The sequence below is a fragment of the Homo sapiens genome, chromosome 4 (assembly GCF_000001405.40).
Source record: "Homo sapiens chromosome 4, GRCh38.p14 Primary Assembly".
Classification (NCBI taxonomy): Eukaryota; Metazoa; Chordata; class Mammalia; order Primates; family Hominidae; genus Homo; species Homo sapiens.
Genome location: NC_000004.12, coordinates 116,889,927 through 116,913,494, shown reverse-complemented (window position 1 = coordinate 116,913,494; position 23,568 = coordinate 116,889,927). Strand labels below are relative to the sequence as shown.

General features: G+C 34.0%; 1 long non-coding RNA gene across 4 annotated transcripts in view; it reads left to right on the top strand.

Moving 5' to 3' along the window:
- LOC107986306 (uncharacterized) overlaps positions 1–23,568 on the top strand; it is a 201,750-nt gene that overhangs the window by 39,205 nt on the left and 138,977 nt on the right. For all 4 annotated transcript variants that reach the window (XR_001741797.2, XR_001741800.2, XR_001741798.2 and 1 more), the window contains 2 exons: positions 6,212–6,366; positions 9,071–9,190. This is a non-coding gene — a long non-coding RNA (uncharacterized LOC107986306). The remainder of the gene's footprint in view (positions 1–6,211; positions 6,367–9,070; positions 9,191–23,568) is intronic.

Here is a 23,568-nt window from a genome sequence, read left to right as displayed (position 1 = left end):
GTTCACCTTAAGAAGCTCCAAATTTCTTACCTGTTAGAAACTTCTGTTAATTTTCAAAAGTCATGAAACTTGAAAGAGATTCTATATTATAGCATAAAGGGATATTCCATAAAATTTTAACTGTTTCTGGTAATTTAAAAAAAAAACACATTTAAAATACTATTTTACACAATACTGTACTTTCCTTAAAAAAACCCATATCTAAAAACATATTATTTGCTCTTATTACACATCAGGTTTTATGATGGACTTCTATGAATTATTTTTTATGGAGACTTAATTTTTGGTTGGAAATAAAGCATCTTCATAGATGCTATCTTCTCCCTCTGAGGTAAGAACACAACGATGTCCACAGGTTTATTGCTGTCGACATCAGTGATTTTTGAAGGGAAGGAAAAAGCAATGATCACCAATGACAATAAGGTACTAATTTATACATTATTAAAAACAAAGCAGTATTGCAGCATGGAGCATAATTCTAAAATTCTTCTCTATGTGGAACTATAATTACAACATGAATGCTGTTTATTAAAGATCTATTTGAGGAAATTATCTTCAAAGCATATTATTTACCTAGTAAGGTTAAATATGAAATATAGGTGAATGATTTAATGACAATTGTATTTTAATTATAATAGTTATTTAACCTGTTAGATTTTTGGAAAACCAAATATGCCATTTATTTTATGTCATATTATTTTAGAACTCTAAAATGAGCTTAAATAGAGAGATATATACACACACACACACCTAAACCCCACATTTATACACATACATATGTGAAGATTGAAAATGACTTTCCAAATTAGTGAAACACTGTATGACAACACATATGAAGATCATAGTGCTGTATGTAAATTACATTGTATTTCTCATCATGTAAAATTGTTGACTGTAAAGAAAACAATTATTTGAAGATGTTTAATACTTTGAATGTATTATCTTGCAAAACAACTGGTATTCTATTATTAGTAAAATATAAATTAAATGTTACCTACAGTTATCTTAATTTTCAATTCAAATTACTGGCCAACATTTTCTTTTTAACATTCATACTGCTTACTCACAAATGAAAGCAACAATTTTTTATTCCTAATCCTTGTTCTGGACAGATTTTCAATTTGGCAGAGTATATAGGACCAAATCAGAGAGCAAAATTACATCTTGCTAATGATGCACTTTCTTTTTATTTAATTATTACATATCTTCCAAACATTTGTGATGTTAATGTTAAATAAGTTTGTTAAATAAACTAAGAATACATTCCAGGTTACCAGATTTGTGTGTAAATGATGAAAAAAGCACTCCATATACTCTCAATATTTTAGTTTCTCTCCTTTAACATAATAGAAAATAACTAATAAAGAAGTTATATTTGTTTTCTTTGAAATCCAGTATTATATATGCAGTTGAACTAAAGGTTCAAAAGCTTGAAAAATAAGAATAGATATAATTTTCTGTCCAATATTTTCATTTCAAAATTTTGTTGGCAACTTTTAAAATTTGTATACGTATGCTAGTATTTACTAGTTTTAGAGAAGATAACTTGTGCATTAGTGAGTTTTTATGCAAACTCAACTATGAGTCCAGTCTTATTCAAAGGAGACAATGCTTTTGGGGCTCTGGAAGTGAAGCAATTTCCTAAGAGTGTGTAATGTAAAAAAACTACAAAACGTATTTAGGAGGAATTTAACATGTGTAAAATACTTTAACACCTGCTCATCATTCTCTAAAAATATATTTTGTAAGTAGCATAAAGACTGAAAAATTATGTTCTGAATTGTTTGATGATTAAATCTAATTCGAAATTACACATTTGATTGTATCTCAGAAAACTAGTTCTGTGAAAAAAGGAGCTTCTGGTTGAAATTTCCATAGTCCTGAGCCCCACATATTCATGTGTTCAGCATTTGTTATAGCCATTCCATGTGCGAGGCACAGAGGCGATTAACAATTTGCAATAATTAGTAAGAGATGATTCCAATCTTAAACTGCTTATGTCTTTAAAGGGAGATATATTTACAGATGAATAGATGGGAATGGATAGATAAATAAATAAGTTGGATGCTAAATGTGTCTTTTTAGTTTTATTTAAGCACAAATGATGTCTGAAGAAGGTAGTGCTGTGTGGAGTTCTCGTTCTGTTCTGGAAACTGTGCATCAGTGATAGAATTTGAAAGCAAGAGTAGAGTTAATAGGGTGAGTGTTAAGTTTAGCCAAAAGCTGCCTCCTTAATATTTTAAGTTTAGCCTAAAAGTTTCTCCATACACAGTGAACTGTAACCTTACTGCTGGATGTGTAAACAGAATGTAACCTGCTCTTGTAACAAGCAGCCAAGTATCATCCAATCACAGAACAGGAGTTTCAGGCAATCACAGGTGACCAACTGTTCAAATCCATGTTCAAAGAGGACAAATGCTGATCTATAACCAACCCAGCTGTTTCTCTACATCACTTGTTTCCTTTTTCCTTTTTTTTTTTTTTTTTTTTAAAGAAAGGAACTTATGTTGCTCTGTCACCTATGGTGGAGTGCAGTGTTGAGATCATAGCTGATTGCAGCCTCCAGCTCTTGGGCTCAGGTGATCCTCCCATCTCAGCCTCCCAAGTAGCTGGGCTAAAGGCATGTGCCACCTCATCCAGCTAATTTTATAAAAATATATATTTTTAGAGACAGGGTTTTGATATATTATTCATGCTGGTCTTGAACTCCAGGGTTCAAGCGATCCTTTCATCTCAGCCTCCCAAACTGCTGGGATTATAGCCATGAGGCACTGCACCCAGTCATTTCGGTTTTGTTTACATCACCTTCCTTTTTCTGTCCATAAATGTTAGCTGACTGTGTGGCAGCCTCAGGGAGTTGCTCTGAACCTATTCTGATTCATGTGACTGCCTGATTCTTGAATTGTCCTTTCCTCAATTAAACACTGTTAAATTTAATTTTTCTAAAGTTTTTCTTTTAACATTAGGAACCTGTTACAGAGATTCAAACAAAGATAATAACTTTTTGAAACTAAAATAGGAATATTAAGTATGAAGGAGGGATAAAAATTAGTGGTAACATTGGAAGAACATGTTGGCAATTCTGTGTATAATATTTGCAATAAAGCGTCTAACTCTATTTTCTTTTTTTTAATTTTTTTATTTTATTATGATTATACTTTAAGTTTTAGGGTACATGTGCACAACTTGCAGGTTTGTTACATATGTATACATGTGCCATGTTGGTGTGCTGCACCCATTAACTCGTCATTTAGCATTAGGTATATCTCCTAATGCTCTCCCTCCCCCCTCCCCCCACCGCACAACAGTCCCCGGTGTGTGATGTTCCCCTTCCTGTGTCCATGTAACTCTATTTTCGATGTTTGACTGCCGACAGCTTTTAAGCTTCACCCCCATCTCTTCTCCTTGTGGCTTATATCTGGGAAAACTGATAAGGAAGCCCAAGTACTCCCCTTTCGTACCTAAACGAGATTCAAAACATGCATGCTCCTGCCTGCACAGGGAAATCCTCACCCCAGCCTACCCCTAACCACAATAAAAGCCTCACATCAGTCTGGTTTTCTTGCCCTCTTAAACTGTTTTGGAAGGTTTGGCCCAGTCTCCCCTAGACGTCTTATGAAAGTAATAAAGATTTTATAATTTCTTAGTGTATATATGTCATATTATCCATCTCTACATACAAACCATATTTTGGAGGTGGGTTCCTCCTGTCTTTCTGAACTAACCTGGCCACAGCAATGTTGAGTAAAGTAATATAATCAATAACTACTTCCAGATTTTTAGCATAAGTGGAAAGGTGTTGGCAATACCCCTGCCCCCAGAAAAAAAAAAAAAACAAAACATTTTTTCTACTTTTTACTTACAGGAAATTGTTTTGAAAGTCAGATAATTAGCCTCTCTATTCTTTCCTCTTCCTTTACATTGAACTTCTTCATCTTTATCAACCAACTGCCTTTTTTTTTTTAATCCGAAATATGTAGAATCAGCTTTTCAAAAATAAACTTGTGTATAGAAGTTACTAGTTGATTGAAACATTGAACTTTGATCTAATCAATCACAATCTTTTCTATTTCTCACCTGGAGTTGTATGATGTCTGTGACACTAGAACAATCCATATAAAAGCTATTACTTTATTATGTGAACAAAATGTGCTGGAGTTCAACTGGCAACGCAAACTACTTGTTACTCAGAGTAAATGAACAGAATGGCTTTGACAATAAGCTTTTTAAAAGTAGAATTAGTGGACTAGTTGCTGTCATAAGGAAGATGGCTCATCTGTTCTGCCTGAATTGGATTTAAAATGTCCTGGAAAAAATCTTGCAGAAATGTTGTATAATTTTTTAATCAAAATAACCTGGCAATATTTTGAAAAGAAGTCATCATAATAAACAAGTACATTGTACTGGCTTTGAGAAAATATTTTACAATATAATTAAAGAATTTTGGTCTATTTAATATTCTGCTCTGGGTACATAATAAGGATTATGTGGGAGAGGAAAACACATTTATCAGATCTGGTATATTTTTTAGTCTTTATAATTTTTTAGAGCAGTTTTAAGTTCACAGCAATATTAAGAGGAATCTACAGAGGTCGCCATATTGCTCCTGACTCCATTTGTGCCTAGACTCCTGCACTATCATTATTTCCCATCTCAGTGGTACATTTGTTACAGTTCATGAACCTACACTAAAAAATCATAATCATCCAAAGTCCAGAGTTTACATTAGAAGTCCTTCTTGTTGTACATTTTATGGGTTCAGACAAGTGTAAATAATATGTATCCACCATTACAGTATCATTCAGAGTAGTTTTACTTCCCAAAAACTCCCTGTGCTATACCTATTTATCTCTCAGTCTCTCTCAGTCTCCCCTCACCTCTGCCTCCATAGCCTGGAAATCACTGATCTTTTTTACTGTCCCCATGGTGTTTCTGTTTCCAAAATGTAATGCAGTTGGAATCGTATAGTACTTAGCTTTTTCAGACTGGTTTCTTTCACTTACTAATATGCATTTAAGGTTCTTCAATGTCTTTTCATAGCTTGGGAGTGTATTAATTTTAAATGCTGCGTAATATTCCACTGTCTGAAAGTATGACAGTTCTTTATCCACTCATCTATCACCTTGCTTCAAGGTTTTGTTAATGATGAATAAAATTGTAATAAACATCCACGTGCATGTTATTGTTTGGACATAAGTATTTAACTCCTTTGAGTTTATACTAAGGAGAATTCTGAATCTTATGGTTACAGTATGTTTAATTTTATAAGAAATTATTAATCTGTCTTCCAAAGTGGCTGTACTATTTTGCATTCCCATCAGCAATGAATGTTACTTTTCAGAATTTCCACTTAATGCTTATATTACTCATCTCTTCTTGCATGTTGTCTACATTTCTTCTAAATGGGACCAGTATCTATGGGACACCAGTGACATGAGGCCATTCACCAACCTTCAGGGTAGTTCCTGTCTTGTAGCTCCGCATCCTTGCCAACATTTGGTTATGTCACTGTACTGAAGTTGGGGTGTTCTAATAAGTGTGTAGTGTGACCTCATTGTTGTTTCAGCTTACATTGCCCTGATGATAGGCCCATTTTTTAATTGAGTTGTTTCTTTGTTTTCTTATTGTTGAGATAAGAAGCATTAATTTTATTGATTTTATTTTTCTTTTCAAAGGACCAACTTTTTGTGGTATTATTTTTCTCTATTGATTCTTTATTTTCAATTTCATTGATTTCTTCTCTAATATTAATATTTAAAGTTTTATATTTCCTTTATTTGCCTTATTTGGATTGAATTTGTCCTTCATTTTCTAGTTTCTTAAGGTAAAAACTTAGATTATTGATTTTAGATCTTTTTTCTATTCTAATTATGCATTCAATACTATAAATCTCCCTCTAAGCCCTGCATCCCACAAATATTGATAAGCTGTGTTTTCATCAGTTCAAAACTATTTTAAAATTTCTCCCGAGATGCTCTCTTTGACCTATGTGTTATGTAGAAATATGCTGTCTACTCTCCACATAGTTTGGTATTTCCTAAGTATCTTTCAGCCAATCCAAGTAATGTAGGAGCTAATCAAAAGCATTCTTTATTTCTGTTACTATCCACTTTATCTCTAGCATTACTTTTGGTTATTTTTTCAGAATTTCCCTTTATCTTCTTACATTACTCATCTGTTCTTGAATGTTGTCTTCATTTCCTCTAAGTAGGACCAGTCTGTATTGGACACCAGTGACATGAGGCCATTCACCAACCTTGAGGAGAGTTCCAGCCCTCAGCAGACACCCAGGAGACTCTGTTCTCAATACTCTGTACTAACAACTTGACACAATGCCAATACAACCTCATGATTAAGAGAAACCAGGTAGGGTTATTTAGTCCACATCAATGCTCTCAAGCCATTCACAGATACAAAATTTATTTTCAATTATGGAGTACCTCTGAAGTGTGAAAGCATTACTAACTATAAATTAACTCCTCAGATTACTCAACTGTGTTATATAAAGTGGTTCATAAATGACTATTTGATGCTGACAAGACGAAAACACTGATATTAAAAGTATCTAGTATTGGCCAACCATGATGGATCATGATTGTAATCCTAGCATTTTGGGCGGCCAAAGCAGGCAGATCACTTGAGGCCAGGAGTTTGAGATCAGTCTTGCCAACACTGTGAAATCCCATCTCTACCACAAATACAGAAAATTTTCTGGGTGTGGTGGCACACACCTGTAATCTCAGCTACTTGGGAAGCTGAGGCAGGAGAATTGCTTGAACCTGAGAGGCAGAGGTTGCAGTGAGCTGAGATCCTGCCACTGCACTCCAGCCTAGGCAACAGAGGGAGACTCTGTCTAAAAAAAGAAAAGAGTATCTAGTATGAAACAATGTGTTTTGGAGTTAAAAAAATTTACAAAATATCAGAGTGTCATTTTATTTTTTTAATTAAAGATACAATCTAACATTTTGCCAATGGTTGCTTCTGAAGAAATATACAAGGAATGTTTTGATTTATTTAATCACTTTCAACATGAGAATGTTTTTAATTTTTTTTTCAACCACAAATAAGAGAATTACCTCTTCTACTTTTTGGTAATTTAAATTTCCCAAACTCAGACTTAATGATTGGTAAATTTAGAAATGACTTGTCATGTTTAATAAGCTCATCTTTATGGCTCTGATTGTTAAGAGGTGCTGCATTAAAGGCAACATTGACTTAAATGAGACAGACTCAATATGGTTGAAAAATATAAAGATATTGGTTCTTTTATGTTTATTAGGGGAAAATATATTTAAGTTATTTTATTTTGGAAAAATGTTTTACTTATATATGCACATACATAAGTGAAGAAAATGACATTACTATGGATAGTTTTGTGGCTGGTTCTGAATGAATACAAGTGGATACCACACATGGGATGATTTTTGAATCATATATTAAGCTTCTTACAATGTGTTGGCAGTTGTCTATATACATGACACTAAAAATACTTCCTCAGTAAAGTTAAGCTATTTTAAATTATTATTATACCACAAATGGGGTAAAAGAAATGAAAAGAACATTTGAAAAGATTTAAAAGTGAGTAAAAGTGTGTGTGGTGTCTGTGTATGTATGTGTGATGTGTCTGTCTATAGGGAGAGAAAGAGAAGCAGAAGTTTATTATTTTGTGTCATTCATTTATTAAAATCTATTTGAATGTATATTGTGTACCAAGCACACTGCCAGGAGATGATTATGGGGTTATGGACAACACAGAGAAGTCCCCGTCTTTATAAACTTTATATTGTTATAGGGAAAGACAATTAATTTAAAAGAAAAAAATTAGATAATTTCAGATGGGATAGGAACACAAATATGTTAGTGAGATACAGAGGGGTACTGTGCATTGGGGGCAGGGCATGGGGGCACGCTGCTTTGAAGAAAGTACTTAAGGAAAGGCTCCTTGATGTAGAAATTGAGTTGACACTTGCAAGATGGGAAGAATTTATTATGCGAAATTCTGGGATAAGAGAGTTCTGTACAAAGGGAAACGACTTTAAGATGGAACAAGCTTGCTGTGGTCAAGAGAGAGAAGAAAGGTCAGTGTGGGTAGAGAAGAGTAAATGTGAGGAATCTTCAGGTGAGGTCAGCCCAGAAAGGTAGGTAGGAACCAGATCATCTCAGGAACATGGAGAGAAGTTTGGCTCTTACTCAAATTTCAGTTGAGGGCCATTAAGGGGTCCTTGACATGAAAGGAATAGGCCTGATTGTACTGGCTGTCATCCGGAGACTGGACTACAGGAAATAATGGAAGGAAGCTCAGTTAGGCAGCTACTGCAGTACACTAGCTATGAAATGATAATGCAGGCAAGTAAGTATAGTTAGAAGGGCGAGGTTTGAGATACATTTTGGGAATGTAGCTGAGAGGACTTGCTGAATAATTTTATGTGGGGAGATAGAAAAATATGATTTGCTCTGAGTGCAGGGTGGGTGGTAGAGTTGCTGCACTTAGGAAGATGAGACTACAGGAGGCATTGAATTGTGGGGTCATTTTTGAAGACATTGAGAATAAAAATTAAGTTATAAGCTTCCAACTAACTGAAAGGACTTCCTCTTGGCCAAGGGGACCCCAGCAAAACCTGGGAAGCTGAGTTCCTAGCCATGACAGGAGAGGAGGTGAGACAAACCTCATTATATCCCCTCCATCACTAACCACCATTAGGCTTTCTTCCTTATGAGCCAGACAGAAGCAGCCCTTCCACAGGGCTTCACACTAATAATGTCTATTACCGGCTTATATTCCCAGGTACAGAACAAAGGCATGACAAGATAAATCTTTCCCTCACAACTCTTTGAAACATCTGCTTCCTCTATTCCCTTTTTTATTCTTCCCATTTTATCTTATTTAAAATGTAGATTTACTAAGCACTAACTAAAGTCTCACAAATATGTTACCATTTCTCTTACTGCTGCCCAAATCCTACCCCGCCTGCCCCACCTTTTTTAAGAAAAATGTATAAGTACCAAAACTCCTAAGAAACTTTTGGAAAAAGAGTCATAGAGGTGAATTTTTTTTTCTTTTTTTTTCCAGGCATGACTCAATAAACTTTGATTGTTTGGGACATCTGCCTCAGTCACTCATTTTGGTTGTCAGCATGGACTCTAGATCAGACCAAGTTGACCTCCCTTCTTCACCATTAACTGCTTTGAGGTAGCTATTTAGCCTCTCTCGTCCTCAGTTCGCTTATGTGTAAATGAGAACTGTAATAGCACCCATCTCATAGTTTTGCTCTGAGACTAAAAGGAGTTAATGCAAGAAAAGTACTTATTACTAGTGTTTGGCTCATGGTAGGTATTAGTTATGATTAAGGGAGAAAAATAATTTTGGACATGTTAAGTATGATAAAAGAGAGAAGAATCAAGTTGAGCATTTTAAGTTTGTGATGCCTTTGAGACATCCTGGTAGAGATGGGAAGTCAATTGGATCTACATGTATAGAGTTGAAGGAGAAGTTAGAGACTCATTAGTGTATTAATGTTACTTAAATCCATGGAACTGGATGTGATAACCTGAGATTTACTGAAAGAGATTAAAGCTGAGAATAAAACAGAAACAAGGTCAGAATCATTTCAAGGTCATGACCTAAATGTTAGCAAATAAATCAGAAATGAACATTAGCAAATAAAACAGAAATGACAGAGACTGAATGAAGTCCTCATCTTACTATTTTTAGTGAAAGCCATGTATTCCGAACTAAGTGTTGAAACAGAGCCATCTGAAGTTCCAGATTACACATTGCGCTTAATGTAGCATTTTACATATATGCTTTTATTTGATTAAAAATATATTGCTTTTGCGGGGAGGGGAGAGAATTCATTACTGTTTCAAGCAGAGCACAATACATGTGTGAAGTCCTTAATATTAACACACTTTTCAATTAATAGTTTAGAGAAACCATAGTGAACAAAATACATTTTCCATGGTGCCAAATGAAGGCCTAATGACTGAGGAACTCAATGATTTTGCTCCGAGATAGACATCTAAATAGACAAACTGAATCACTGTACTTCCCATCCCTTCCTCCACCAGGGTGACTTTCTTTTGAAAACTGCTGAGTCAAGGTATGGGACTAAATCTTGCTTTATGCACATAGAATCCTGTCTTTTTTCTTATTGCATGCCAGGCAAATGAATGAAGAGATAATGGAACTTTGGACTTGGGCAGACCTGTGCTTATATTTTAGGTACACACTACAGTGAAACCTTTGATAGTTTCTTGAACTTTCTGAACCTTAGTCCTGTCAACAACAACAATAAAAAATAGAGACAATAATAACATACCTCATAGTATGTGGACAATCCTAAAATGCTATGCCCAAATGTTTATTTTATTATGTGTTTTACAGAATATTCTACATTTCATGCAATGTTTTTAACATTGACAAATTACCATTTTACTATGTATGCAGACTACGGAGAGTCTGTCAATTCACCATATTCTTAGATAATTCAATCTATTTTGAAAAGGGCATATGTAATTCAAGTTTATAAGGATGTCTGCATGTTATCTATAGATATAAAAAATCTGAATTAGAGAAATATTCTATTTATTTTCTTTATTCTCTCTACATGAAAGTGTGTGTGTGATCACCAGGTTTTTGACATAAGAAAGGAGGGATTGGTTGCAGCTGTAGTAATTTGTTACTTACATTGGCATTCAGAGGCAAAGGCTGTTGTGGTCTCATGGTTTTCTGCCCTCAGAGGATGGACTGTGATAATTAAGTACATTTAAAATAGAAAAACATGAAGCCACTTTGCCTCTGTCCTTGTTGAACCTGTTTCTTTATTCACCAATGCTTGTTACAATTTATTAACCATGAATTATACCTCTGAGTAAATTAAACTTTCTTCCTCCCTGCCATTCTGCACTCACCCGACTTACCAGGTATAAAAGTTGCATAAATTTACAAACAAGTCAATTGGCTTTCTGAGCATGCAATTAAGTTATGGAGCAATTTTCTGCAAAACTGAACCCCAGAAGAATACAACAGCTTCTTTGAATCTAGTGCTGAGGTTCATTTTTCAAACCAGTAACACAATATCTAAATCATGTTCAGCACGATGTACCTGTCTTCAAATGCTGTTTAGAGTTATGTACGTGTATTAGTTTTTGGTTTTAGAGCAATATGGTTTTTTTTCTCTCTTCCTATTTGAAATTCTTTTCTTCCCTCTCTCCTTCTCTCTTATCTCTTTCTCTCCGTCTCCTTTTACACACACACACACACACACGCACACACACTTCATTATCACAAAGTAAGTGTACATCAAAAAGTGCCAGTTGCGAGAATGATTACTTAATTGTCCAATCTACATCCTCACACTGTGTTTTAGATGGAACACTAAACACTGCATTTCTTTTTTTTTTTTTTTTTTTTTTCACTGTCTGTGGCTGATTTTACATTTTCTTTCTGGCACTGAAGTTTGTTTTCTAAGAAATTTGTCTAACAGTTTAACATTGTTTTCCATATATATGACTGTAAAAATTGTCAGATGTATTTCTAGTTTCACACAATCCTCCAAATCCCTTCATATGGAAGACTTGGTTATTTAGAAACTGAAAAATGTATTTCCTTTTAAGTTTCTGTTTTTCTGTCTGACAAAGAGAATTTGTGAGCTGATTACCTGAGATTACATATGTGGTGTGCTTATCACACAGAGCTTGGCACATAGTGTCAGATATTACTTCATCATTACAGACTTGATGACTGGAAGGGCTAGGAGTCAAACTCAGGTCTGACTCCAGATGATGATGATGATGATGATGTTGTTGTTGATGATGATGATTAAACAACTCAATGCTCCTATTTTAGAGACAGTTCTGTATATTTAGAGACCAGCTAAGAATTTCACAAATTCATGGAACATGGCTAGCAAGCAGTTTTAGAATCTGATATTTTTTGGAAGCTTCTTTATACCAATCAAAATACATAAAGATGTTACTAATTTTGTTCCTTTTTTGTTCTAAGTTATCTACTAAATGAACATTTTTTCATATAAAAATTTTCCCAAAACCCAAAATAATCTTCGTAATTATAAATTATACTTGTTGAAATTTTGCCATGTAGAGTATTACGTAAAATGTCATTATAGTAAGAACATATGTATGAAGCAGGGATCTAACCTAGAAAAAGCAAAGTCTTAAGTTTTGAGTGAAAAAACCATGAGTTGGATAAAGTTGTTCAAAGGCTTTGCATGTATACCTCATATCTTGGCCCCCAACCAAATGCCCAGTCATGTCCAATAGCATGTGTGAAAAGTCTGCAATTTCTGTTTGACAGAAGTTTTGGAGGAGAGGTCTCTATCTGACTTTCATGGACAAAATAAGATAAGAATAAATACAACTTTCATTAGGTTTTGATAGGTGATCCAAAGCCAACTTAGTACTACCAGGATCCACTGTGATGAGGCCTTCAGAATTTATAAGCTCTCAGGCTGGAAAAGGAATAGATTAATAGGATTTATTCTCATTATCTTTCTTATGATTTTCTTATAAACTCACAGCAAACAATGATGAGGATTGGCAGCATGATAAACACATTTACTTCACTCTCATATTTGGACAGACTCTTGAGCACAAGACTAAAGCATCCCCAGAGAAATTGCCAGTTGAAACTTGGACATTGTTTCGAAGTCAAAGGTCTTGAATTAGAGTGGGGAGAATATCCTGATTGGAACTCACTGGGGTTACCCAGTTTGTGGACAGAAATCTCCACAAAATGAATACCAGAACAATGTGTTGGTAAAGCAACTCTACATTTATGAAATCTCTAGGATATCACTTTGGCAGAGCTTTCACAATGAATACATCAGAATGGGGAGGTCCCAGGATCATGTTTGTAGGTTTTTAAGATCTGGGCCCAAGTTGTCACAGGCATATGTTTTCACCTTCCTTTTGCAAATACCACATTCTATTTTTGAATGGCTAAAAAATCATTCTTTATTTTCTGATTTTTTTTCAACAAATATTTGAAGTACTTATATTTCATGTCTCAAACCTCATATAAATTAATATATATTTACATATTTATATTTTTACTTAATATAGTAATTGACCTATTTGCATGTGTGTTTTATTTGTTTTTATAACTTTAAAAATTAACATCTGCATCTAAATAAAAAAGAAAAACATAAAACCAACAAAGAAACCTGAATGGCATGAATAAATGGAGACTTTGCATTGTTTTGTAATACTGACTCTTACCACATAAGAATCAATATCATTTCCAGAAAGCAAATAATGTACATAATTAGAATAGCTATTTCAACAATTATTATCTCTTGTAACAGCTAGGGCTTTCCAGAGAAACAGAACTGATAAAATGTGTGTGTATATATACAGAGAGAGAGCAAGGAAGATATTTATTATGAGGAATTGGCTTACACAATTATGGAGCTTGGGAAGTTTCAGTACCTTTAGGTTGGGTTGGCAAGCTCAACTGCAGACCCAGGAAAGCCAAGTTACAGTTCCAGTCTGAGTCCAAAGGCCTGAGAACCAAGAGAGTCAATGTATAGTTTCAGTTTGAAGGCTGGCAGTCTTGAGATTCAAGAAGAGCTGATGCCACAGTTGGAGTTGGAAGGCAGGAAGAAGCTGATGCCCCAGCCCAAAATCTGTCAAACAGTAATAGTTCTCTCTTACTATGGAGAAGGTCTGCCTTTTTGTTCTATTCAAGCCTTCACCTAATTAGATGAGTCCTGCTTACATTAAGGAGGGCCATCTGTTTTACTCGGTCTACTGATTCAACTGTCAATCTCATCCCAAAACACAGAAACACTTAGAACAATATTTGATAAAATATCTGGGCACCCTTTGACCTACTCAAGTTGACACATAAAATTAACTGTTGCATCTTGTATACATTATGATAATTTAGTTAGAAAATGGTGATAATTTATAATTATTTAGTTGAAATTATAAAGATCAAATTAAATTTCAAAACATTAAATCCAGGAAACCTAATTTTGCTAGTGTTGATAACAAAGGGCTAGCAGATTTTATATGTATATATATATAAAATATATATATATATATATCTGTAGTCTTAATGGGGTCAACTGCTCCAAATTGAGTAGTTCTGGGCTTCATTTTATGTAATGCAGTTATTATTTGGTAGAAATATCATCCCTTTAACAATTGTATACATTCAAATATGTAGTCCAACCTCAGTAGTTATATACCATTCACCCTTGTGAAATGTTTTGAAACAAAGATTTACTCTTGATTAGTGAAGCTGTTAATTTTTTTTTACCTTCTTTAGGTTCATAATTTTAACAAGTGGTAATTTATTTCTTAAGTTCTTTTCCATTGCTCTCTTAATACATGAAAACATTTATAGCTTTGCTTCTAATTTTACTAGAAGAATGGTTCGTAACCAAAAATAATCTCATATTATATGATGCTATGTATACCTTTTCACAAATACCAAGAGCCTTTGTTTCTTTTTAATTTTCATGGTCTTAGAAGTACTGCTTTGAATATTTTAAAGGTTATAGTTGTAAGTACTGATAGTTTTGGAAAAATAACATTCACATTTATTCAGGTATTTCTTTGATTTAAATTTGGTGGGAAATATAAGGCATATTTCATCAAATTTATAACAACTGTATTTTAAAATGTGTTAAAATACATGTTAAATACATGTTAAAATAATGTGTTACTCTATTTTAAAGTAATTTGGACAATTTATTTTATTTTAAGCAATTCAATTGCACTATGCAAATGAACTCCAAATTTATGGGAGAAGATCAAGTGGATAAGTTGAGAAGGGAGCAAGCATATGCCAGATGTTTTGTTGACTAAGATGCCAAGATCTCAGCACTTGATAATGAATTTATAAGGTCACAGAAAATTGTACAGGATTAGTAAATATCAGAAAAATTAATGAAATTAAAAGACTACAAGAATAAACTTTATATCAACATTACCATTGTTTTCAAAATTGTTTTTTATAAATTATAGTGTGAAATTTGCTTCTCACATAAATTCAAATCCTTTAAGTCAAAATAAAGATATTAGACGACTGACGTTGAATTTATACAATAATAAACACAGAGTCTTACCACCTTGTTTCTGGCCTAAAAGAGCTTTTATTAATGATCATAGTATATAGGGCCCTTCTTTTTTAAATAACTTCTTCAGTAGAATGTAGCTTAATGTTTTTGGTGAAGACATCATCCCTGCCTAGACCTATTACATCAAAATCTAAATTTTCCCAACATACCTAATTGTTGTGTGCAGGTAAATTCTTAAAAGTGTTAGCCGACTGCAGATGAAGCCAACAGAGCAATGGCAGAGTAGCAGGAAATGATTTTCTTCAATTAGACATGAGCTTTGCTTCAGTTAGACATGAGCTTTGCTGCCATTGTGAAAGAGCAGTAGAAAGAGAGGCCCACAAAGTGGCAGCAGGAGAGAGACCTGTGTAATCTCATCAAGCGCACCACATCTCACCTGTTCTGGAGAAGCATCTTGATTTTTCCACCTGGTTAGATGTGGCTATTAGCTAAATAAAACCAAAGGTCTTAACTAAAGAGAATCTCATAATTTTGGCTGAAGGGCACCGATGTTAAAAGTCAGTGTAGGCTGTATGGCCAATATCAGATATGATAATGACACTTCAGCAAATGAGTGTTGCCCAGAACCCCTCCAAGGTTAGAAACTTGATTTCCCACAATCAAATGCTGTGACACTACAACCCTCACCCCCACCCATCATCTATGGAACTAAAAGGCAACCAAAACAAACAAACAAACAAACAAAATAAAACAAAACAAAAAAAGAAAATAACCAAAGTAACAAAAATGGCAAATGTGCATGGGAAAAATATTGATTTGACTGAATGCTCACCTGAAGAAATTAAACTACATAAGTAGAGTTATGTTTCATGCAAACCTAATGTTTATCCACTGGGAAGTTTTGTACACAATACACAGCAAACACAGGACTGGAGAATAGTTACCTAATTGTAATTATTTGCCAAAGTTTCATTTCATACATACAATGGAATACTATTCAGTCTAAAAAAGAATGAATTTCTATCATTTTTTACAACTTAGGTCATGAACTTAGGGGACATTATGCTGAGTGAAATAAGCTAGACACAAAAAACATGCATGATTTTATTATATGTGAAATCTAATGTTGAACTCACCGAATTAGCCAGTAGAATATTGGCTACCATAAGCTTGGGGGTGGAGGGAGATGGGGAGATGTTGGTCAAAGGGTACAAGATTTCAGTTAGAAAGGAAGAATATGTTTTTGAGATCTATTACACAGTATACTGACTACAGTTAATTATAATGTAATATATATTTCAAACTTGCTAAGGCAGTAGTTTCAAATGTTCATACCATTAAAATATGATAACTATGTGAGGTGGTGGGCATGTTAATTAGCTTGATTTAATCATTCTGTAAGGTATTACATATTAAAAATAAACAGTGTACCCCACAAGAGTATATGATTATTTTTTATCAATTAAAAATAAAAAATACATTAAAAAGTTTCATTTTATGCTAATGGGATGCACACTGTTTTTAGTGTCTCCAAACTTCCCTTGAATTCAACAACTTGGAAAACACATTCTAGTAGTTTGGTCTGCTGCCATAACAAAATCCAACAGACTAGATTGCTTATACAACAGAAATTAATTTTCTCACAGCTCTGGAGGTTAGAAGTCCAAGATCAAAGTGCTGTCAGTGTTGGTATCTGGTGAGGCCTCTCTTGCTAGTTTGACCATTTTCTTGCTGTGTTCTTACATGGCCTTTCCTCTCTTAGCCTGCAGAGAATAGGGAGAAAGAGACAGAGAGAGAGAGAGGGAGAGAGATACCTTTTGTGTAACTTTCTCTTTTTATAAGGACATCAGCCCTGTGGCATTAAGGTCCCACTCTAATGACCCCATTTAACTCTAATTACCACGCTAAAGGCTCTATTTCAAAATAGGGCCTTTAACTCTATTTAGTGCTGGGATTATAGGCATATTTCTATTCCACATATGAATTTGAGTGAGGGGGAGACAATTCAGTCGACAACACACAATTTATAGCAGACTGGTATATGCTCAGTTGCAAGCATCTTAGCCAAAATATAGCATATGGTATATTTATTCTTTATACACAGACAAAGATGCCCAATGCTAGAGAATTAGATTGCTTTACATTGTCTTTTTTTGGCATATATTTAAGGAGTGCAAATACAGTTTTGTTGCATGGATAGATTATGTAGCGGTGAAGTCTGGGCTTTTAGTGTAACCATCATTCAGACAATGTACATTATATCCATTATTGATGTCATGAGAGGAGCTTATAATTCCAAGTTCAGATCACCTGCAACCATGCTGCTTTTCAAAGGGTAGGGAAGGCCTGCTGCCATCCTTGCTGAAATGACTGGTATCAGGGATACATTTGAGATTAAAGTAAAAAAAAAAGAAAAGAAATCATGTTTTCATTTGTTTCTGGCCTTTTGTGAGTTAGACAGGTTGTTCCTGTTAAGCAGATGTGAACTCTTACTAGAGAGTCAGCCAGATCCTCTTCTATATGAATGGGAAGTATTCATTGTGACTCTGTGCCTTCTCCGTGTTAGAGATTCCTTACTTTTATTTATGTTTAATAAATGAGGATTGAATGAAATTGATAATAAATAGTCCAAACATTTAATATATGTTTTCTACAATTTTATCATGATTTCTTATATAAAATATTGGACTGAATTGTATAAAAATAAATGTTTTTATACATTGAAACTTTACATATATATTTTCAGTTGCTTCAGAAATTCAAGGAATTTTGTCAGTTTCAACAAAGATTTACTGAATATCTATAATGTGCTAGAGCTTTCTCCTAGGTTTTTGTTGTTGTTGTTGTTGTTGTTGTTGTTTTTAGATGGAGTATTGCTCTGTTACCCATGCTGCAGTGCAGTGGTGCAATCTTGGCTCACTGCAACCTCTGCCTCCCAAGTTCAAGCAATTCTTGTGCCTCAGCCTCTCCAGCAGGTGGGATTACAGTCATGTGCTACAACGCCTGGCTAATTTTTCATATTTTTGTGGAGATAGGGTTTCACCATGTTGGCCAGACTGGTCTCGAACGCCTGGCCTCAAATGGTCCGCCCATCTCAGCCTCCCAAAGTGCTAGGATTACAAGCATGAGCCACTGTGCCCAGCCTCTCCTAGACATTTGACTTTACATTTACTTAGGATTCTTTTGTAAAGAATGGAAGAGAAAACAACCATAATTAGCTTTCAGATAAGGATACTTGAACAATAAAAGGTGGCCCAACTCCAGGAAAAAATGAAAAAAAGTCACAGAATTGTTGCCTGACTGCTCTTTTCTGCACTTTTGTTTCATGCTTCTCTCTGTAAAAAGCTTCTTCCATTTCTTTGGTCCAAGAAACAACCCACAAACAACCCAAGATTTACAAACCATAGCTTAAACATCTAGATGTATTCACTAATTCAATTTAGTCCCAGCATTTCCAGTAAATCTTGTCTTCACTGGAATCAGGGAACAACTCCTGGACCAGTTAGCTCTAACCAAGAGTGGGGTCTGCTAGAGAGGCTGTGATTGCCTCACTGGAGACAGTCACACTGAGGAGGATGATAACATTTGGCAGAGAGAGCAAAGGATTTTATAACAGGAAGGAGTGTGAAGACAGGTTTTAGAAAAGAGGAAATGAGGCTGGCCAGGCAAAACCCTTCTGCCTTAAGCTTCAACAAGCTGCTCATGTGTTTGAAGTCTTTAATAAAGCTTCTCTGCCATTGAATCTATTACTGCTTACTCAGTATTCATTTCCAGGATTCTGAGATCAAAAATAGAAGAGATGTGATATATGATTTAAAATTGTCATTATTTCCCACCCTAGGTTCTATCCTCTTCTGCCATTGACTAGGCTTTTCCATTACTGATTGTGTTAATGTTGTGAACTTTACCATTGTCTTGTAGTTTTGTTTTATGTGTGTGTTTTCTTTTAAAAAGAAACCCTTAATGAATATTCTGCCTTTGTTAGAAGTGTATAATTTTTCTAGAGAGAACAAGCCACCTAGATTGCTTCCAAGCCACAGTCTGAAAACTATACATGCGCTAAATTCCAGCAACCAACATGTGTTGAAGAAAAGAAAAAAGGCACATTAACAATTGAAAAGGTCTGGTACTCTGTCATCCTAGATTCATAGATTAAGAACCACAAGAGTCTAACCTTATAGGTAAACTCCTTGAGAGCAAAACATATTTAACATTGTATCCTCCAATCCTGGCACTGTGCCTGGCATATGTAGCATAAATACAAGTTCAATAACCCTTTGTTGAATGCATATATTATTTTTCTAATACAATTCTATCAAATTATAACTTCAAAATTAGGTTTTAGAAAAATTGTTGAAAATGATCCTAAGCCTTTGAGGAAACAGTGGTAAATTTCTCAACAGAAATATACTTAAATTCCACTGCCAATTTTCAAACTCTCTCTTGATTTGTGAATCATACAAATGAGTTACTGTAATTTATATGTTTTGAATTAAAGCATTTCTAAATTCAAAAATTTGCTTCACACATTAAAAGAGTAATTACTAAAATAATGTAAAGAAAAATATTTCTTGCTGATGAATTTTTTAGTTCAATGCTCCTCATATATTCATCTGTTCTTTCTCAAAACTATAGGTACATTTTCAAAAGTTTGTTAAAAATATTTTCATTAAATCAAAATAAAGATGGGTTTTCAACAAAGCAGACTAAATCTTTAAAAATCTAACATATATTAAGTGGTTAGGATATTGAAAGATTACACTGTATCTTTTTTCCTCCAAACTTTTAACTTCTTTCCAGCTGGAGAGTTAAACTTCTTCATTATTTATTTACTCATTTATCAATTTCTGCTTGAAATAGTAGCCTTGAGAATTCCAGAGATTTTGTAGACATTTGTTAGCAATATTTACTATAAACTTTTTGCATCTGGACCCTCTAGTGTTAGTTACAACATGGATCATATGCTAATGGGCAGAGGATGATAAAGTCTTCAAGATTAATTGCCAAGGCAGCACCTTCCAGGATGGTGGAAAAAATGTAAATTATTCATCAACAAATGATTTAAATATTTTTTGCTGCCTATGTCTTACAAAAGGAATTCATTTTTAACATAAACAAGAAATAAAACCTTAGGAATATTGTGAAAAATACAGAAATGTCTACAAATTAATGAGCCATTTTATTTTTGAATCTGTTAAATTTTATTTTCAAAAAACAAAGAGTCATTGCCCAAGATGCAAATTTACTAATACCTATTTAAATTCAAAATATACGATCAGCCAAAAGGTCAAAAGAAATTAGCTTCCTTAGAAAGTTTATTATAATAAATCTAATTTTTAACTTTGATTTTGTTTCTTTTAATTGATGATAAGTTTAGTTAACAGACTAAAATTTTGGCCGGGCACGGTGGCTCATGCCTGTAATCTCAGCACTTTGGGTGACTGAGGCAGGTGGATCACCTGAGGGCAGGAGTTTGAGCCAGGCTGGCCAACATGTTGACACCCGTCTCTACTAAAAATACAAAAATTAGCCAGGTATGGTGGCAGGTACCTGTAATCCCATCTACTAGGGAGGCTGAAGCAGGAGAATCACTTAAACCCGGAGGTGGAGTTTGCAGTGAGTCGAGATCGCACCACTGCACTCCAGCCTGGGCAACAAAGTGAGACCCTGTCTCAAAATAAAAAAATAAAATAAGATAAAATAAAACAAAATTTTAAGAAATATTTGATTATTTAAATCTAAATTAAATTTAAACATTGCATATAAGCAAATACAGAAGCACTCAGCCTCAAACCCTGAACTCTTAGTTCCTGAATTGTAACTCTGCATTTATCTTTTTTTCTAAGCCACCTCTGCCCATTGCTACTATTGTCATGCCCAAGACTTTATCAGTAGCCATAACCACATCACCTTTACACTATTAGTTTCAATCTTAATGTTATCCTAATGTCAGTCTATTATTCTAGCCCAATTAGTCTAGACTTCTTAATCCTAAATTTATAAACCCATTCGATTTTTCAATTCAATTTTCACTCCCCTCATTATGGTTAGATTTAATCAACTGTAACCAACCTGATTACAACTTACTTGTTGCTCCCTCCACCGTGTACTTTACAGGGAAAAACAAAAAACACAAAGCCTCTAAATCCAGTCAATATCTGCTCTACATCTTCTTTTTGGATTCAGTCAAGCAATGAAGGTGGCTGGAGGAAAATATAACACCTTGCTAATTGTAGATTACTTTCCATTTAGGATGATAAATCTCAAGTGGGCCCTTATCATTACCTCATGCACTTCCCTAGTCTACTCACTTTCCTCCTGCCATAGACTATAACACAATTTCATTATTCTTCTCAAATCTACAATATCTCCAAAACCCTCTCCGCAGTACTCATTCTAAGCAGATAACTTTGCTTCTTTTTCCATGCACACACAAAAACAATCAGAAGAAAACTGTTCAATTATCTCATTACAAAAACCATGAACCTATTCACAGCTATATGTATATCCTCTGCTTCCTTTTCTGTTAACAGTTGATTACACGCCTTTGCTCTAGCAATTTGGTTTTCAACACCAAAGTCACCAATGGTCTCCATATTAAATAAACTGCTTAATCATTTTAGCAGCTTAAACTCAACAGATCACTTTTTAAAATGTTTTCTTCTCTGAGTAAAAGGCTGTCATGCTCTTGTACCTTTATTTGTGAGTTACCATTTGCTCCCTTCCTGTCACCTTTTTAAAACTCAACCATTTCTTCACACATCTAATTTTTAGACTCAGTTCTCCTTCCTCATAAGTTCTAAATTTTACACAAGTCTTGCATTGGCTTTCAACACCAGAGTATTTTCATGTCTTATAAATTTATATTTTATACCAATATGTTAGATTCATATATAATTGCCTAAATTACATTTCCACTTGGATGCATAATAAAATGTTTCCTACTTGTTTAAGGAAATCACAGTTTATTCAAATTTGAAGGTAAAAAATATGAATTAATTTCAAAATTTTTGTTCATGTAAAGGAGCACCCAACATGGAAATGCAGCCTCTTGCTAAACAAAAAGCAAAGTTTACAGTACATTTTGGGAAAAAGATTGAGTTAAGTTAAATTTAAACAAGGTTGAGATTTTATTGGACTACAATCCAGGGAAGCTAAAGGCTGATTGGTAAATCTCCCAAACAGGTTTGTTAGAAAGGACTCAGATTATGCTGAGACACGGAGGCACCTGTGTGTTTATGGGCAAGACTTTACCAGAGAGAATAATTCAGCAATGAAAAGAATACATTCATAACATAAATTCACCTATGCTATTGAAGTATGAAGATATTTGGCATATCATTTTAAAACCTAAATAAAGTTTTTTTCTCCATAACATCAGCAACATGTTACAGACAAAATTGTTTCTACACTCAGGTTAACCACTGAATAATTTCCATAAGAAATATTTGTTAATGGTATATTTTTATAGTTACTGTATTCAGTTTTTTGAAGTTAGCTCTACAAGTTACCTTAAAAACCTTCCAGTCAAATATATACATGCTAAAATGTATATTATTTCATTATTCTCTCTGGTAGAATCTTGCCCATAAACACACAGGTGCCTCCATGTCTCAGCGTAATCTGAGTCCTTTCTAACAAATCTGTTTGGGAAATTTACCAATCAGCCTTTAGCTTCCCTGGATTGTAGTCCAATAAAATCTCAACCTTGTTTAAATTTAACCTATATACATACTTAAATTAAGTATACATACTTAATTTAAGTTTTATATGTTATACCTATATATTACGTATGTATACCTATATATATACATAAATTTAACCTATATACATACTTAAATATATATACATGCTAAAATAAACTACACACATACACATATACATGCAAATTACGATTTGGAGCCATAGAATGAATTTAGACTCTCCAGATACTTTTCACTAACTACTTAATTCATACTTCTAACTGGATGTCTTAAAGTTACCTCATTACTCACATTATCAAAAATGAGCTCTTCTCTACAAACATTGCCATGTCCACTGTTCATTATCACCAGTATTGAATCACCAGACATTCAGCTGTGATAAATAGGACTTAAATGGAATTGAGTAAGACAGAAATCCAGGATTTCTCCTAGATGAATAAATGAACCCGAGGTCTTTTTGTCTGGAGTTTGATAGAATATCTGCCTGTGTGTTTTCTTGTTTCATCATTTTTTTCCTATCTTTGAAGTTGGGTCACAAAAAAATTACAAGAAATAAGTGGCTTTGAAATAATTTATTCAAAGATTTTTAAAAAGTAACCTCCAAGTGTCAAATGGAGAATTAATTGAAGAAATGAATTTAAAGCATATTTATGAGAATAAGATGTAAAAGCATAATATATCCATGTTATTGTAGTCATGGCCCTTGGGACTTTATTAGACTATTTATCTTAGTTAAAATAAATTGAAAATTAGCTCTAATCCTTAAGGGATAAGATCTTAAATGTTACCACAGAAAGTTGTAATTATGCGATGTGATG